This window comes from Homo sapiens, chromosome 6, assembly GCF_000001405.40.
Source record: "Homo sapiens chromosome 6, GRCh38.p14 Primary Assembly".
Classification (NCBI taxonomy): Eukaryota; Metazoa; Chordata; class Mammalia; order Primates; family Hominidae; genus Homo; species Homo sapiens.
In genome coordinates this window covers 90,323,599-90,341,793 of record NC_000006.12, presented here as the reverse complement: position 1 = coordinate 90,341,793, position 18,195 = coordinate 90,323,599, and the positions used below count along the sequence as shown (strand labels likewise).

At 40.8% G+C, this 18,195-nt stretch overlaps 1 long non-coding RNA gene across 2 annotated transcripts in view, besides 4 other annotated features; it reads right to left on the bottom strand.

Moving 5' to 3' along the window:
- The window catches only part of LOC105377891 (uncharacterized), a 60,354-nt gene that overhangs the window by 15,799 nt on the left and 26,360 nt on the right, over positions 1 to 18,195 (bottom strand). The window contains exon 2 of one of the 2 annotated variants that reach the window (XR_942778.4): positions 10,362 to 10,430. The exons of the other annotated variant lie outside the window; for it this stretch is intronic. This is a non-coding gene — a long non-coding RNA (uncharacterized LOC105377891). The remainder of the gene's footprint in view (positions 1 to 10,361; positions 10,431 to 18,195) is intronic. 2 annotated transcript variants of the gene reach the window in all.
- Positions 14,154 to 14,298: an enhancer, noted in NCBI's record as "145 bp 6:91037287 sequence used in MPRA reporter constructs". NCBI's record gives its function as "activates a minimal TATA-containing promoter with rs6919512 allelic activity by MPRAs in C283T melanocytes {active_cell/tissue: C283T}" and the evidence as "EXISTENCE:reporter gene assay evidence [ECO:0000049][PMID:36423637]".
- Position 14,226: a transcriptional cis regulatory region, noted in NCBI's record as "rs6919512 or 6:91037287 MPRA-significant variant associated with a GWAS melanoma risk locus at 6q15". NCBI's record gives its function as "allelic transcriptional activity by MPRAs in C283T melanocytes {active_cell/tissue: C283T}" and the evidence as "EXISTENCE:reporter gene assay evidence [ECO:0000049][PMID:36423637]".
- Positions 15,174 to 15,318: an enhancer, noted in NCBI's record as "145 bp 6:91036267 sequence used in MPRA reporter constructs". NCBI's record gives its function as "activates a minimal TATA-containing promoter with rs7750559 allelic activity by MPRAs in C283T melanocytes {active_cell/tissue: C283T}" and the evidence as "EXISTENCE:reporter gene assay evidence [ECO:0000049][PMID:36423637]".
- Position 15,246: a transcriptional cis regulatory region, noted in NCBI's record as "rs7750559 or 6:91036267 MPRA-significant variant associated with a GWAS melanoma risk locus at 6q15". NCBI's record gives its function as "allelic transcriptional activity by MPRAs in C283T melanocytes {active_cell/tissue: C283T}" and the evidence as "EXISTENCE:reporter gene assay evidence [ECO:0000049][PMID:36423637]".

Below are 18,195 nucleotides of genomic sequence, written 5' to 3'. Positions count from 1 at the left end.
AAGAACTCTCCGGCAGTGATGAGGAGGCATCAAGAAGCAAACGTCTACACAGAAAGACAAGCTGAGGACAAGAACAACACAAACACACCCAAGTATCAGACAGGACTAGCTCTCTTTCTGTGGGTCCGACTATGACTGAGGCTTCCAGTAGCTCCTGCAAGAGGAGAGACTGTGGCCTGACATCAAAATCTATGCCTTTTTGCAATCTTAGGATGGAGAGCAAGTTGAAGCATTTTCAACAAATTATTTGGTCTTCAAAAACATCCTAGGTTAAAGAACCATTTTAGGTTATCACTATCTGCACATACCTAGACCCAATGGACCCTACCTTTTGAATTAAGTTTCCAGTGCTTGGTGCAAAGCAAACATAATGGGCATCTCTCCACTCCCTCTACCCTTAAAAAATTGTTCTGAGAGAGTTACCTGTATTTCTTTGTGGCATACAACACAGAGCAGCTACCCGGAGATGAATCAATCATGTGCCTGTATCAGGCTGCTCTGGGACAGACTTTCAGGAATATTCTAAGCACCTGAACCTTCTCTAATCCTGAACTGTTTCTTCAGGGCTGCCCCAGTCAATCTGGTATGAGAAGAAGGAGAAATATACTCATGTTGGTGTTTCCCCAGCTTTCCTAACTTGAACTCGAGTCTACATTTATTTATTCATTTGTTTGTTTGTTTGTTTAACAAGCTCTTATATCATGTTCACTATGTTCCAGGCACTGTTCTAAGCCTTTTGTAGAATTGGCCTATTTAATCTCAATACCCTATCAACTGTGTACCTTCCTTTACACACACATATCACACATGCACACACATGAAAAACCTCCCTTGCCCCTCATGTGTGTCTACTTCTTGTCTATGCTTTTCATATGATAATGTGTTATGCCCTTATTTATGTGTTTATATCATCCCAACCTGAATTATAGGCAAGAACTCGATGCTGACATTAATCTGAATGCTGTGACTTCTAGGAACTTCTACATTTGTTTCCTCTCTGGCAAACTGTTGAAGAGGTGTCCCACTTGCTGTTGGTGTTGTTTCCTCTCAGGAACATGTCCCTCAGGCTTCCTGAGACTCAAATAGCTTGTTTCCTATATTAATCAGGCTTCTTCAGAGAAACAGAACCAATAGGATATTGTGTTCATCTGTTTTGCGTAAAGGAATAAAGGAATACTTGAGGCTGGATAAAGAAACGAGGTTTATTTTGGCTCATGGTTCTGCAGGCGTAAAAGCATGGCACTGGCATCTGCTCAGCTTCTGGTGAGGCCTCAGGAAGCTTTTAGTTATGGCGGAAGGGAAGAGGAGCTGACATGTCACATGGTAAGAGAGACAGCAAGAGAGAGGAGGAGGTGCATGGCTGGACAAGCTTTAAATACCCAGCTTTCACTTGAACTAACAGAGCAAGAACTCGCTCGTTACCCTGCAGAGGGCACCAAGCCATTCATGAGAAATTCTCCCCCATGACCCATATACCTCCCATCAGGCCCCATCTCCAACATTGGGATCACATTTCAACATAATATTTGAAGAGGATAAATATCCAAACCATATCAGATATATATTAAAGAGAGAGAAAGAGAGAGATTGATTTACTATGGGGATTTGCTCACGCAATTATGGAGCCCTATTATTAATTTCCATAATCTACCATCTGCAATCTGGAGAACCAGGAAAGCCAACAGTATAATTCAACCCAATTGTGGAGGCCTGAGAACCAAGTGAGTTGATGTCTAAGGGCAGGAAGGGATTGGTGTCCCAGCTCAAAAAGAAAGGGCAAATTTCCAGTCCTTTGCCTTCTTGTTCTGTTCAGGTCCTCAGCAGATTAGATGATGTCCATCCGCACTGGGAAGGGTCATCTGCTTTACCAGTGCACAAATTCAAATGCTAATCTCTTCTGCAAACACACTGATAGACACATGCAGAAACGATGTTGTGCTAGCTATTTGGGCATCCCTTAGCACAGGCAAGTTGACACATAAAATTTATTATCACAACTCCACCCCTGTCAACTTGACACCTATATGCTTCTCCTTAAACTGTACTTAATCTCCAAATAAAGACAATAACAAGGTAATAACTCCACCTAACATGATACAACTGTCCTGCATGCAACCAAAAATGCACTAATCCCTTCCCCAGAAGAGGAGGTAAAATCCTTGAGTGATGTTTACTCCTCTCTTGATATCCTATAACTTAAATACCATGATGTAAAATTAACAATACTTAAATATTCATTGGTATAAAGTCATCTTATGTTACAAGATAAGGAAATAAGAGGAAAGAAAACAAAGATATTTGCTTATTATATGTATATATACACACAAATGTATTCATAACAAAATAAGGAGGGAATATCCATGACAATTATATTCCTCATTTCTATAACTGGTCATGTGGTTGCAGCTGGTATTTATAACTACTTTCTTCTAGTATGCATTCTGTATTCCCTTTGCCATAAGCAAGAACCATAGGTGGTCATGGTTCTTTAACTGGTGGGATGACCCAAACCTTCATTTCTGAAAGATCTGGACTATTAATGTTCTTGCCTGGATTCGGTTGTTGTCATTTTCCACTGAATGTAATCACAGGGCCATGGTAATAACAAGAGACACCCTAAGAGATCTCCTGTATTCCAGACATACTCTTTCATACTTCTGTGGTGGAGCAGTAGGAAAATTTCTCCCCTTGGTAGTCAGGATCGATCACCCCAACAACACTGTAACTCTTTTTTTTTTTTTTTTTTTTGCCTGTTGACTCAGAGGCATGGAGGAGCCCCAAAGTGGCCAGGTAGAGTCTTAATTTCCAGTTCAATAGAATTATTGTTGAATCTCCTGCCAGAAGCATTCCTCCCTCTGGAACTAAGACCACTAGGCTAGCGGAACATAACATCTCAGGAATAGGAAGCAAGACTTTTGCTATTGGGTTTCTGGGGGTAATAATGAGTGGTGTCATTCCCATTTCTACCCCCTTGATTCCTGAAACTATGAATCCTGACTATTGGAGAAATAGCATCACATATTGACACTGATTCAGAGCATATTAGCCTTCTGGAGAATCTTGCTCCCACCCTGCAAGGTACTGCCACCTATCTGGTGCTGTAATTGAATTTTCAAAATGCCATTTCACCATTCTGTCAAGCCAGCTGTTTCAGAATGGTAGGGAATGTTGTAAGGCCAGCAAATTCCATAAGCATGAGCCTATTGCCACACTTCTTTTACCATAAAGAGAGTTCCTTGACAGGAAGCATTGCTGTGTAGAATACCATGATGATGGATAAGGCATTCTGTATGTCCACGGTCAGTAGTTTTGGCTAAAGGTAGGAACCAATTTTACTTGGGGTGGGGTGACTTCTTCCACTAGGAAAGACTCATCAGAATTTAGGGGTTCAATGTCCTTAGTTTCATCTGAGTCTTCCCACACATCCCCAATCAACCCACAGGATCCTATTTTTTTCCCTAATCAATGTCTTCACTTTAATAGTAGACATCCTATGAGCCTGGGAGTTCTGCTTGCATTGTAGCTCAGCCAATCACAGGATGAGTTTCTGCATTTGATTTCCAGCCATTTCAGCCCTACAGCTATAGGAGGTAAGTCTCCTTCAGGGCACACCTGGAAGCTCTTAGGTCATTTATGCAGTGCTTCAGCTGAAAATTCAAATCCCTAAGCTCATTTTTTTTTTCTTTCACCACTTTGTACAGTGACACTGGGAGCAACCACCCAACATCATTATATTCTCTAATTTTCAAAAAAATGTTCAAAAATATCATATACAGAGTCACTCAGTTCCTGGCTTCTTAAGATTGATTAGGAGTATCCGATGCAGATATTTTATTTACCTCTCTAAACAGTTCACATGCTATGGATTATCAGTGCTCACTTTTTTTTTTTTTTTTTTTTTTCAGAAGGAGTCTTATTCTGTCACCCAGGCTGGAGTGCAGTGGTGCCATCTCAGCTCACTGCAACCTCTACCTCCCAGATTCAAACAATTCTTATGCCTCAGCCTCCCGAGTAGCTGGGACTACAGGCACCCGCCACCACACTCAGCTAATTTTTGTATTTTTAGTAAAGACAGGGTTTACTATGTTAGCCAGACTGGTCTCAAACTCCTAACCTCTGGTGATCCACCTGCTTCAGCCTCCCAAAGTGCTGGGATTACAGGCGTGAGCCACCATGCCTGGCCAGTGCTCACTATATTACTGGAAATAGATACATTAAAGTATTTGTATCTTTAAATGTAATCAGATTAGATAGCCAACTCCAGAAACCACAGAACCAACTTAGAAAATTCATCCTTAAAAGTCTGTCCCTTTAGAAACATTCTTGGTACTAAAATTTGTATTAGTCAGGGTTCTCCAGAGAAACAGAACCAATAGTGTGTGTGTACCTGCGTGTGTGTGTGTGTAGATGGAGATTTTATTATGGGAATTGGTTCACATAATTATGGAGGCAGAGAAGTGCCACAGTCCTGGTCTGAATCTGAAGGCCTGAGAACTAGGAGCACTGATAACTGAGGGCAGGAGGAGATGGGTGTCACAGCTCAAAAAGAGAAAAATTTGCCACCACTCCTCTGCCTTTTGTTCTATTCAGAGGCTCACAAAATTGGATGATGCCCACCAACACTGGCGAGGTCATCTGCTTTACTCAGTTTACAAATTCAAATGCTAATCTCTTCTTCGTACGCCCTTACAGACCCTCCCCAAAATAATGTTTTACTGGCTCTCTGGACATCCTGTGGCTCAGTCAAGTTGACACGTAAAATGAACCACCACACCTCCCTTTCCTCTTCTCTGAGATGGGGTGGGGGTGTCTGTCTAGACCAGCACCACTGCTGCATGTCCTGCTGCTTTCATGTGCCCCACCCCAACTCAAGTATCTCAGCATCACTGGGAATACCTGGAAGACATCATTTTTCTGTTAAATTGCAGGACTGTGTGGATGAGGGTAATGGCAATAGCAGTTTTCTCCACACCCAGGCCTGTCTCTGTCATGCTCAGCTGTGCTGTGGCTGTGAAACTCTCTTTATGGAGTGCTTAATGCAGCACTCTGGGCAATTAGGGGCTTGACAAATGCTTTTTCATGATGCTGAAGCTGAAGATCAGAGGAACAAAACGTTCCCTAAAACAAAGGATGCATTGTGAGTGAATTCACCTTTCAGAATTGGCTGTCTGGCCACCGGGCCCCTCTATACCCAGCATGTACGGGATCATCATCCCGAACATAAGCATAGGACTGCGCATGCAGGCACTAGGGCCACAGCACTAGACTTCAGTGCCAAGATGCCTCTACTGCACGAACAGAGGAATAATAAGATCTTAAATTTAATAACCAAGCTGGGAAAAACATTAACTGACATAAAGAGTTAGCAACTCACAAACTGGCCTGAGCAAAAACCTCATAGATTCCAAACTCAGTAGCAAGTATTTATTCAAAAACACTAATTAGCAGGTAAAATGCAGGTTCATGAAATAGAGCTCATAAGGAAGTAAGGAATGATGGAGAGGTTGGGAAGAAAACAGTAAGACAATTTCCTTAGTGAGAATGATGAGAGAATTACTTGCTCAAGGGCAAATTTTATGGAAAATCATGATCCAGTGCTAACAGAGGGAGAAATCTTTCCAAAGAGTTAATGGAGCAGTTAGAGAAATTCAGGTTCAGTAAATCATGAGGACTGGGAGTATTGATTTGAACATTCTGGTAGATGAAAATATGGAGCTGAGCTGCTGACCAAACTATATAATAGAAGAGCTCTTCAAAAGTGGCTGGGAATTTTAGTTGCTGAGTTGATGCTGGAGTTTTGCCCATGGAGCTCGCCCTCCCAAGCTGATTCTCTTAAGAAATTCTATACACTCTATCCTAGAGGTTAGGAGGCTCTGGCACTCTCATAATTGCATCTTTTATCTCCCTGATGGTTCCCATATCCAAAATTCCCAGCCAAACCTCTCATCTGATCTTCAGGAGAGTATTTTCAAGTCTTTCCAGGACATTTCTACTTAAGGGACTCACTATCATAGCTAATTAGACACTCATCATCCCCAAGGCCCTCAGCATCATAAATAATGACAAAAACAAAACAAAGCAAAGAAACAAACCACAAGACCATCCAAATTGGTCTTGTGGTTTTCTGTCTTCCAGCCTCGAAAACATGGAAATACCTGTGATTCTTCCCACTTTTCCAGTTCCTCTACCCAATTTACCAAAAATATTAGCACTGAATCTCAGCTAGGTATTTAGTCTTTCTCTGATTCAGTTTTCGCATCTGGAGAATGTGAATAACAAATAGTTGAGTGAGGATTGAACAAGGCCATGCATGTAAAGCACTCACAGTGATATCTGGCTCACAGTTATACACAAGCCATCATTTTTACCAAAACTGGCATTATGTTAAAATCTTTCATTACTTCTTTCCTCTACAGACTATATCAGCATCAAATAGACACCTTCATCACCTCCGCTCTCTATTAGAGTACCAAACTTTTAGAGCCAGGAGACTCTTAAGAGAAGTGAGGACCAGTCCTTGCTACATGCCAAAATCTGCTGGGTGCTTCTAAAAAATACGGAACCCCAAGTCCCACCTCCAGACTTACTGAATTTGAAACTTGGAGAAAGGGCTGCTTAGGAAGTGACAATGGTTTGTCTATGTCCCCACCCAAATCTCATCTTGAATGGTAGTTCCCATAATCCCCATGTGTAGTGGGAGAGACCAGTGGAAGGTAATTGAATCATGAGGGCAGTTTCCCCCATGCTACTATTCTCTTGATAGTAAGCGCTTATGACATCTGAGCCCTCTTTGCTTGGCTCACATTCTTCTTCCTGCTGCCATGTAAAAAGGATGTGTTTGCTTCCCCTTCTGCCATGATTGTAAGCTTCCTGAGTCCTCCCCAGCCCTGAAGAACTGTGAGTCAATTAAACCTCTTTCCTTTATAATTTACCCAATCTTAGGCAGTTCTTTATAGCAGTGTGAGAATGGACTAATACAGTAAATTGGTACCACAGACAGTGGGGTGCTGGTATAAGGATACCCAAAAATGTGGAAGCAACTTTAGAAGTGGGTAACAGGCAGAGGTTGGAACAGTTTGGAGGGCTCAGAAGAAGACAGAAACATGTGGGAAAGTTTGGAACATCCTAGAGACTTGGAGTGCTCAGAAGACAGAAAGACGTGGGAAAGTTTGGAACTTCCTAGAGACTTCTTGAATGACTTCAACCAAAATGTTAACAGTGATATGGACAATGAAGTCCAGGCTGAGATGATCTCAGATGAAGATGAGGAACTTCTTGGGAACTGGAGCAAAGGATTAGTAAAGAGACTGGCAGCATTTTGGCCCTGTCCTAGAGATCTGTGGAACTTTGAACTTGAGAGAGATGATTTAGGATATCTGGCAGAAGATTTCTAAGTGACAAAGCATTCAAGAGGAAGCAGAGAATAAAAGTTTGGAAAATGTGCCACCTGATGATGTGATAGAAAAGAAAAACCCATTTTCTGGGGAGAAATTCAACCCATGCAGAAATTTGCATAAGTAATGAGGAGCCAAATGTTAATCACCAAGACAATGGGGAAAATGTCTTCAGGGCATGTCAGAGACCTTCACAGCAGCCCTTCCTAACACAGGCCCAGAGGCCTAGGAAGAAAAAATGATTTCATGAGCTGGGCCCAGGATCCCCCTGCTGTGTGCAGCTTGGGGACTTTGTCCCCTGTGTCCCAGCAGCTCCAGCTGTGGCTAAAAGGGGCCAAGGCACAGCTTGGGCCGTGGCTTGAGAGGGTGTAAGCCCCAAGCCTTGGTGGCTTCCACATAGTGTCAAGCCTGAGGGCACACCAGAATCAAGAATTGAGGTTTGGGAACCTTCACCTAAATTTCAGAGGATGTATGGAAATGCCTGGATGTCCAGGCAGAGGTGTGCTACAGGGGTGGAACCCTCATGGAAAACCTCTGCTAGGGCAGTGTGGAAGGGAAATGTGGGGATGGAGCTCCCATACAGAGTCTCCACTGGGGCACTGCCTAGTGGAGTTGTGAGAAGAGGGCCACCATCCTCCAGACCCCAGAATGGTAGATCCACTGACAGTTTGTGCCATGCTCATGGAAAAGCCACAGACACTTAACACTAGCCATAAAAGCAGCCAGGGGAGTGCTGTACCCTGCAAAGCCACAATGATGAAGCTGTCCAAGGCCATGGAAGTCTATCTCTTGCATCAGCATGCCCTGGATGTGAGATATGGAGTCAAAGGAGATCATTTTGGAACTTTGAGTTTTAATGACTGCTCTATTGGATTTTGGACTTGCATGGGGCCTGTATCTCCTTTGTTTGGGCCAATTTCTCCCATTTGAAATGGGTATATTTACCCAATACCTATACCTCCATTGTATCTAGAAAGTCACTAACTTGCTTTTGATTTTACAGGTTCATAGGCAGAAGAGACTTGCCTTGTCTCAGATGAGACTTTGGACTTGGACTTTTGGTTTAATGCTGGAATGAGCTAAGACTTTGAGGGACTGTTGGAAAGGCATGATTGTGTTTTGAAATGTGAGGACATGAGATTTGGGAGGGGCCAGGGGTAGAATTGTATGGTCTGGCTGTGTCTCCACCCAAATCTCATCTTGAATTGTAATTCTCTTAATCTCCATGTGTAGTGGGAGGAACCCAGTAGGAGGTAATTGAATCGTGGAGGCAATTTCCCTCATGCTATCCTCATGATAGTGAGTGAGTTCTCACAAGATCTGATGGTTTTATAAGGGGCTTCCGCCTTCTTTCAACTCTCATTCTTCTCCTTCCTGCTGCCATGTGAAGAAAGATGTGTTTGCTTCCCTTTCCACCATGATTTTAAGTTTCCTGAGGCCTCCCCAGCTCTGCAGAACTGTGAGTCAATTAAACCTCCTTCCTTTATAATTTACTCAGTCTTAGGTAGTTCTTTATAGCAGTGTGACAATGGAATAATATAGGAAGTAATATCATTTTTGAATAACTTCTCTATGTCTTCTGCTGCAAAGTCAGGTTTGAGAACCACTAAGACAACTATATTGAACTCCCTCATTTTATAGATGAATAAACTGAGACAGGGAGAGATTAAGAGATTTGATCAAGGCTGGGCATGGTGGCTCATGCCTGTAATCCCAGTACTTTGAGAGGCCGAGGTGGGAGGATTCCTTGAGCCCAGGAGTTCGAGATCAGCCTAGGCAACATGATGAGACCCCCATCTCAAAAAAAAAAATTTTTTTTTAATTAGTTGGGTGTGGTGGCATGCACCTGTGATCTCGGCTACTCAGGAGGCTAAGGTGGAAGGATTGCTTGAGCCCAGGAGGTCGAGGCTTCAGTGAGCTGTGTTGGTGCCACTGCACTGCAGCCCAGCAAAAGCACAAGAGCCCTTTCTCAAAAAAAAAGAAAAAAAAAAACACTTGATTAAGAACATAGAGCTGGGTAGTGGTAGTTCCAGGACCTCAGAGCCCATGATTTTCAACTTAGAGTAATTTCACTTTACCACACTAACTCCTCCTTAGCCCCGTTAGTGCCATAGATTTCTCTATTTGCTCTTTGTCATTTCCAATGTCCCCCCTCTAATTAGTTAGTCTACATCAGCCCCAGTTCCAGAGCCTATAGTGGTTCCCCAGGGCAAGGCTAGCCCCAGAAAGTACAATCCCTAGGCAAATATATTTTACAAGGCCACGTCTATATACATGATTTGATTAGAAAATGAGTTTGTGTGAGGTATAGTGATTTACTGGTAAAAATTTAGAATAATGGGTATTTGTTTATTGCCCAATCAGTGCATGTAAAAATTCTTGTCTTCTTCATCCCTCATAAATAAGTTACCCAAAATCAACCTGTGGAAACCATTCTAGAGGTCCAATGGCATGCAGTCTAACAAAAGAAATAACCTGTTGGTCAGTGTCAGTGGGAACATATTTTCATCAGACTGCTTTCTTGAACGAGGCTCCACCTTGGCCCTAAGATCATCTTACAGGTATGCGGTTCAGAGCTTCTCTGGACATCTGGTCAACCTTACCAGATGGCTAGAGAGTAGGATAGTGCTCTGAAGGAGAGAAATGGGATCTGGCTTGGACACTCCACCCCAATAAGACTGTAGGCCAGGCTTCAAGCAAAGCCATTTAAATCATGGGGGTCCCTGAGGTGTGGGGGCCCAAAGCAGGAGTCCGACCCATTGTTAAAGAGCAATACTGTCTCATCAGCTGGTTAGTAGATTGGGATGCTATGGAAGAGTATTTCAGAACCACTTTTCATAGCTTTATGAAGACATCTGGCCGACTGCATTGTATGTTAAATAAGTAGGAACTTGGATGCATTAAAAATTAATGGAAAATTGTATGAATAATGAATCTGTGGTGGTGTATAAAATGATCATACATTACCTCCAGGTTAGACAATGCCTCCCTGAAATGGTACAGGCTATGTGACCTTACATTCTTTTCACTGGTGGCCTGAGGAGGACAAGAACAGAAGAGAAAGTAAATAAAACCTGGGCCGGTTGAAGAACTTTCAGCTGTGCAAGCTACTTGTGCTTATAAAGCAATGTGCCTAAGGGTCTATCCCTGCTCCTTATTTTTCAGAGATGTGACTTAACTGCAGATGCTACAAACCCCTTGAACTGACCCAGCCCCCTGTAAATGAGAGACCCCTCAGGATGTCAGCAAAACTGATTTAGGTCAGCCATCTTGGAGCCATGCCAGCTAAAGATGTGGCTGCAGGAATTGCACTGATGTGGCTTGGCCCACAGAGGGTTGGGTGGAGGGGCACCAAGAATAAGGCAGTGTTTACCTAGTGCCCACCTTCACCCCATCCTCCTCCTCCCCACCAAGCCCGCTCTGCAACTTCCGGAGAAAAATAGTAAAATCCATGTCTGTCTCCAGCCTCATGGGGTTATTTCCAAAGGTTTGGTAGTTTCTCATGTTTTCCTTTTCATCCTGCCAGTATCCAATTACTTGGTTATGTCTCTCTCTCTCTCTCACACACACACTCACACACAGTGCTGGCACATTTTGACTTGCAAAATTTTAGATAATATGTATATATGTATATATATATACACACACATAGAAACAAAACATATATATGTTTATATATGTTTATATATATACATGTAAACATATGTGTATATATACATATATACATAGATATACATATAGAAAACATATATATGTTTAATATATAAAACATATATATGTTTAATATATGTATATATATACATATAAACAAAACATATATGTGTATATATATACACACATAAACAAAACATATATATGTTTATATGCGTATATATGTGTGTGTATATATGTACATATAAACATATATATATAGATGGAGTCTGGCTCTGTCACCCAGCCTGGAGTGCAGTACGCGATCTCGGCTCACTGCAACCTCCACATCCCAGGTTCAAGCAATTCTTCTGTGTCAGCCTCCTGAGTAGGTGGGACTACAGGTATGTGCCAACATGCCCGGCTAATTTTTGTATTTTTAGTAGAGGTGGGGTTTCACCATATTGGTCAGGCTTTTCTCAAACTCTTGATCTCAGTTGATCCACCCACCTCGGCCTCCCAAAGTTCTGGGATTATAGGCATGAACCACTGTGCCCAGCCAACAAAATATATTTAAAAACAAAATGAGAATCCAAAAATGAGCATTTTCTGACAAATTAAAGAGAGAGGAGCACCTAATAACACAAGTGATGGGACAAAGATTCACAAAGTCTGTCTCCTTACATAGTTTATTTGATTCAATTCTTTCTGGCCCTAAAGGAATTTCATGGTAATGAAATCTGTACTCAAAAACCAAGCCTTCCTAACTAGAGATACCTGGGGCCTGTTTGTTCTCTGCAGTGTAGCTGTGTGTGGCATGACCCTCTGAGTGTGTGTCTGAGAGAGTATGTGTATTGGGAGGAGGGGGATGTTGCTATCAGTGTGTGATGGAGTCTGCTTTCAAAGCTAATCCCAAGGGGTAAAATAAGATATGGATCTAATTTGATGAGACACTAAAATCTTCTGACTTGTCTTATCTAACAGAATTCCGGTGCTTGTTTTTCATTACAAAGATCTGGGGTAATAACTTTATTTAGTGCTTGGATTTCTTCCCCCCTGGACTGCTAGTGGAAAGTCAAAGACTGATTTACAAACAGAGGTTTGTTAAGTACTATTTTTAGAACAATGCTGTACCAGATTTACTAGGGGGTTGGGGGGAACAACTACAGTCACTTTTGAGCAAAGTAGCATTTCACTGCATAATAATGAAGTACTAATTGCTCTTTGTCATCACTTTTTATGCAAATTGCCCTGGAGCATTTGCCCAATATGCATTTTACATTTTAACAAAGAAAGTGGAGTCTTGACAAATAAGAATCGTATACCCAAGCAAAAATAAAAATATCAGCTATAAAATAAACTGCTTAAGGTGCATTCTCTAAGATACAAATTTTTCTATTATATCATCCCCATTATTAGATCTATCTGACCAATAAGATTACTTTGAATTCAAGTTAACAATTTGTGTGTTAGGCAAAAAAAAAAAAGTTTGTGCACAAAACTTGCACATTTTACATATCCTACAATTTATAATAGAAGTTTGATGTGAAAATTATGTTTCCAGCAGAATTTAAATAGACCAGGTCAAATAAGATTGTCAAGGGAATCAAACTGTGTCAAAGCATTTATCACAGGTACAAGTCTCACTATTTTAGAAGTTTCAGTTATTCTAATGATTTCATTTTCATAGAGACAGTCAACATTATAAAAAAAGAAATGTGATTTTCATATAATAAATAAGTACAAAGTTTGAAACATACCTCAAGGGTGTGTGTGTTCAAATTCTGGTCTAGAGACCAATACTGGTCACTATCATACTGACACCAGACAAACAGAAGAGTGAATTGTGATTTTAAAATTTTCCAGGACCTTCAGAGAAACCTAAAATTCAAATCTGGCCTTCCAGGTCATTATGAAGATATATTTGTCAAGGTAAGAGGATAGAACATATTTTATTTAACAGTCTGTTAGCTTGATCTATACCATTTAAATATTTAAACATATTGGTATGTGGGCCTACATTTGTACTCTTGCCCTGGGCTCCACAAATCTTAGGGGTAGGTCTACATCTTATAATTACTTTCTTACTTCCAACTCAAAGCTTCAGTGAAGTCTATGCATGCTTATTCTAAAAATTGAATGAAATTGGCTTTAACGGTTGCTGACTTCGAAGGCTATCACCTCTGCTTTCCAGTAAATCCACACTTTACAAATAGAAAAATACAGTATGTGACAAGGTGCTGTTGATTAAACAGTAGAGGATTTCTTCCCAAATGCACTGAAATGAACTACTGCCTTTTATGAATGACCATCATAGAGAGTTATTTCCAAAGTAGGATAATTCCTTGGAATAATAATAATAAACTGTGAAGTTCGTTTAACTCCAGACTTCAAAGCTGTTTACATCCTAAAGTCTACAGCCCCTTCTTCTAGGTTGGGTCTATAAAGTGTTATACACTCACTTTTACTTTTACCCAATCCCAGATCCAGAATAATACTTCCCTGAGGTCACTGAATGAGTCAGGGGCAAGTGGAGTGTGGAATCATCCATCAGTCATGCTCCCAGGCCCTCTCCATTAGACATCCTGATTATGAGATGAAATACTGGTAAACATGAGCTTCTGTACCCAGGAAATGTACTGTGAAGGGCATAATGAATTACTTATGCTGTGTAGTGTATATATAAATCATATTAAAGCATGCTGAATAGTACATTATCATGTTTCTATTTTGCATTACAAAAGTAACTAATGTAAGCTGCAAAGTGTACTTTTAATCCATTATTCATTTCTAAAAGTAGTCAGACCACTATTCAAGTACCATAAAGGGCTACCAGTATAAGCAAACCTACTTTTCAATTTATGAAGATGAAACAGCAAGATTTTTAAATCAATTTTAAATTAGTCAAGTTGTATTTATCAAAACCTATATTAAATCTATGCATTCCTGTTCAGATGGAGGAATTACAACAAATCATAACTTTTTGCTCAAAGAGTTTATATGTCTCAAGTCCAGAATCAATATAATTACCTTCATTATATGTGATTTTTTAATATTATTTGTTTTACCTCACTTTTAATGCTTACATTGGGTCAAAAATCTGTTTTTAGTTTCCTTTCTCATTTGAGTTCAGCTATGCACATCTGGTTTTCCACCAGTGCTGCCTCAATGGGGTTAGCTTCTCTTCCACAAATGTTTCCCCAGTGCACAAGCAAGGAGTTGGGGTGTGCTGATCTCCCTGGAGCACCCGTCTGCAGTGCCGCTCAAAGGCCTTTCTGATCATAGCTCAAGGTTCAATAACCATGACAGAAAAGGTTGATACAAATCATAAAAAAGCAACATAAGCACAGAATACAAACAACAAACTCAGAAAATGTTTGCAACCTATATCACAAAGGGCTGAGGTCCTTCATGCTTAAGAGTCTTAGAAATTGAGAAAAGTCCAATAACCCAAAGAAACCGAGCAAAGAATGTGAATAGAAAATTCACGGGCCGGGCTCAGTGGCTCATGCCTCTAATCCCAGCACTTTGGGAGGCCGAGGTAGGCAGATCACCTGAGGTCAGGAGTTCAAGACCAGCCTGGCCAACATGGTGAAACCCCATCTCTACCAAAAACACAAAAAATTAGCTGGGCATGGTGGCGGGCACCTGTAATCCCAGCTACTCAGGAGGCTGAGGCAGGAGAATTGCTTGAACCTGGGAGGCAGAGCTTGCAGTGAGCTCAGATCACGCCACTGCACTCTAGCCTGGGCAATGAGAGCACAAGAGCAAAACTCTGTCTCAAAAAAAAAAGAAAAGAAAAGAAAAGAAAAGAAAATTCACAAAGAAATGCAAATGGTCCTCAACCACATGAAAAGGTGTGCAAACTTACTCATATAAAGAGCAATTCAAATGAAAGCTACATGATGACACCATTTCTTACCTATCACGTTGGCAAAAAATTCCCCAAAGTTTGATTAATGCAAATTGTTAACAGGGCTATGGGGAAATAACCACTTACATATGCTGGTGGGACTTCAAATTAGAATAAATCTCATGGATGGCAATAGGACAATCTCTATCAAATTTATCTGCTATGACCCAGTAATCCCATGTCTGGGAATTAATCCTCCAGATGGATACACACACCTACACACTTATGATATGATGTATGCACTAGGTTATTCATTGCAGGGATGGGCATGGTGGCTCACATCTGTAATCCCAGCATTTTTGGAGGCTGAGGTGGGCAGATCACTTGGGCCCAGGAATTTGAGATCTGTCTGGGCAACATGGTGAAACCCCATCTGTACTAAAAATACAAAAAATTAGCCAGGTGCGGTGACATACACCTATAGTCTCAACTACTCAGGAGGCTGAGGTAGGAGACTCAGTCACCTGAGCCTGAGATGTCAAGGCTGCAGTAAGCCAGGATCTCACCACTGCACTCCAGCCTGGGTGATGGGAGTTAGACCCTGTCTCAAAAAACAAAACAAACAAACAACAACAAAAAAACAAGGTTAGGTTATTCATTGCAGTATTTGTAAGAGCAAAAGTTTGCAAACTACTCAAGTGCCCATTAATAAGTATAAAGGTTAATTTTATGTGTTGACTGGGCCACAGGGTGTCCAGATATTTGCACAAAACCCGTTCTGGGTGTTACTGTGAAAGTGTTTTGGGGTGAGATTAACACTTAAATTGATAGGCTAAGTAAAGCAGACTGCCCTAATGTGGCCTGCCCTGATGTGGGCGAGCCTCATCCAACCAATTGAAGGCTTAAATAGAACAAAAAGGTTGACTGTCCCCCAAGTAAGAAAGAAATCCTCCTGCCTGATGACCTTCAAATTGGGACCTTGGCTTTTTTCCTGCCTTCACATTTGAACTAAAATATCGGCTCTTCCTGGATCTTGAACCTGTTAGCCTCCAGATTGGAACTACACTCAGCTCTCGTAGGTCTCCAGGTTGCAGACTTGCTCAACAGACTTTGGGCCTGGTCAGCCTCCATAATCATGTGAACCAATTCCTTACAATAAATCTCTTTCTATGTACAGGTTATGTATCCGTTATCTGAAATGTTTGAGACCAGAAATATTTCATAATTTTGACTATTACAGATTCTGGAATATTTGCATTGCACATGCTGGTTGAGCATCTGAAATCCAAAAATCCAAAATCTGGAATGCTCCATTGAGCATTTCCTTTGAGTGTCATGTCCATTTTCAAAAAGTTTTGGATTTTGGAGCATTTTGAATTTCAGATTTGGGGTTTTCTGATGATCAAATATATATTGAATAATATATGTATTTATCCAATTGGTTCTATTTCTCTGGAAAACTATGACAAATACAATAAAGAATTGATTAAATAAGCTATAATACATATATTAGGAATAGTATAGGCATTCCTCATTTTATTGCACTTCACTTCGCAAATATTGTACTTTTTACAAATTGAAGGTTCATGGCAACCCTGAAGTGAACAAGTCTATTGGTACCATTTTTCCAACAGCATGTGCTCACTTTGTTTCTCTGTGTCACATTTTGGTAATTTTTGCAATATTTCAAACTTTTTCATTATTATTACATCTGTTATGGTGATCTGCAATCAGTGATCTTTGATGTTACTATTATAATTGTTTTCAAGTGCCACAAACTGCACACATTTAGGTAGCAAATTTCACCGATGAATGTCTATGTTCTGACTACTCTACTCACTGGTCATTCTCGTCTCTCACCCTCTTCTTGGGCCTCCTTATTCCCTGAGACACAACAATATTGAAATTAGCCTAATTAAGAAGCATTAAAGTAAAAGGAAGAATTGCATCTCAAAAGCCAAGCCAGGCAAAAAGCTAGGCCTCTTGCGCCAACAATTAGCCAAGTGATGAATGCAAAAAGTTATTGAAGTGGTGAAAGTAAAAGTTATTGAAAGAAATTAAAATGCTACTCCAGTGAACACATGAATTATAAGAAAATGAAACAGCCTTATTGCTGATATGGAAAAAGTTTTAGTGGTCTAGGTAGAAGATCAAACCAGTCACAACGTTCCTTTAAGCCAAAGCCTAAGGCAGAGCAAGGCCTTAACTCTCTTCAATTCTGTGAAGGCTGAGAGAGGTGAAGAAGCTGCAAAAGAAAAGTCTGAAGCTAGCAGAGGTTGGTTCATGAGGTTTAAGGAAAGAAGCCATCTCCATAACATAAAAGTGCAAGGTACTGACATGATCACTATACATTATATGATAACATCACTATGTACCCCATAAATATGTACAATTATTGTAAGTCCATTTTTTAAAATGCAAAGTGAAGCAGTAAGTGCTGATGTAGAAGCTGCAGCAAATTATCCAGATTTAACTAAGATCATTGATGAACGTGGCTACACTAAACAATAAAATTTCAATGTAGACAAAACAGCCTTCTATTGGAAGAAGATGTCATCTAGGACTTTCATAGCCAGAAAGGATAAGTCAATGCCTGGATTCAAAGCTTAAAAGGACAGGCTGGGCCAGGTGCGGTGGCTCATGCCTGTAATCCCAGAACTTTGGGAGGCTGAGGTGGACGGATCACGAGGTCAAGAGATCGAGACCATCCTGGCCAACATGGTGAAACCCCGACTCTACTAAAAATACAAAAATTAGCTGGGTGTGGTAGCATACACCTGTAGTCCCAGTTACTCAGGAGGCTGAGGCAGAAGAATCACTCGAACCTGAGAGGCAGAGGTTGCAGTGAGCCGAGATCGCACCTCTGCACTCCGGCCTGGCAACAGAGCGAGACTGTCTTAAAAAAAAAAAAAAAAAAAAAAAAAGGACAGGCTGACTCTCTGGTTAGAGTCTAATGCAGCTGGTGACTTGAAGTTGAAGCCAATGCTCATTTACCATTTCGAAAACCCTAGGGCCCTTAAGAATGATGCTAAATCTACTCTGCCTGTCCTCTGTAGATGGAACAACAAAGCCTGGATGACAGCACATCTGCACATCTGTTTACAGCATGGCTTACTGAATATTTTAACCCTAATATTGAAACATACTACTCAGAAAACAAAATAAAATTTCTTTCAAAATATCACTACCTATTGACAATGCACCTAGTCACTCAAGAGTTCTGATGAAGATGTACAAAGAGATTAACGTTGTTTTCATGCCTGCGGACACAACATCTATTCTGCAGCCCATGAACCAAAGAGTAATTTCAACTTTCAA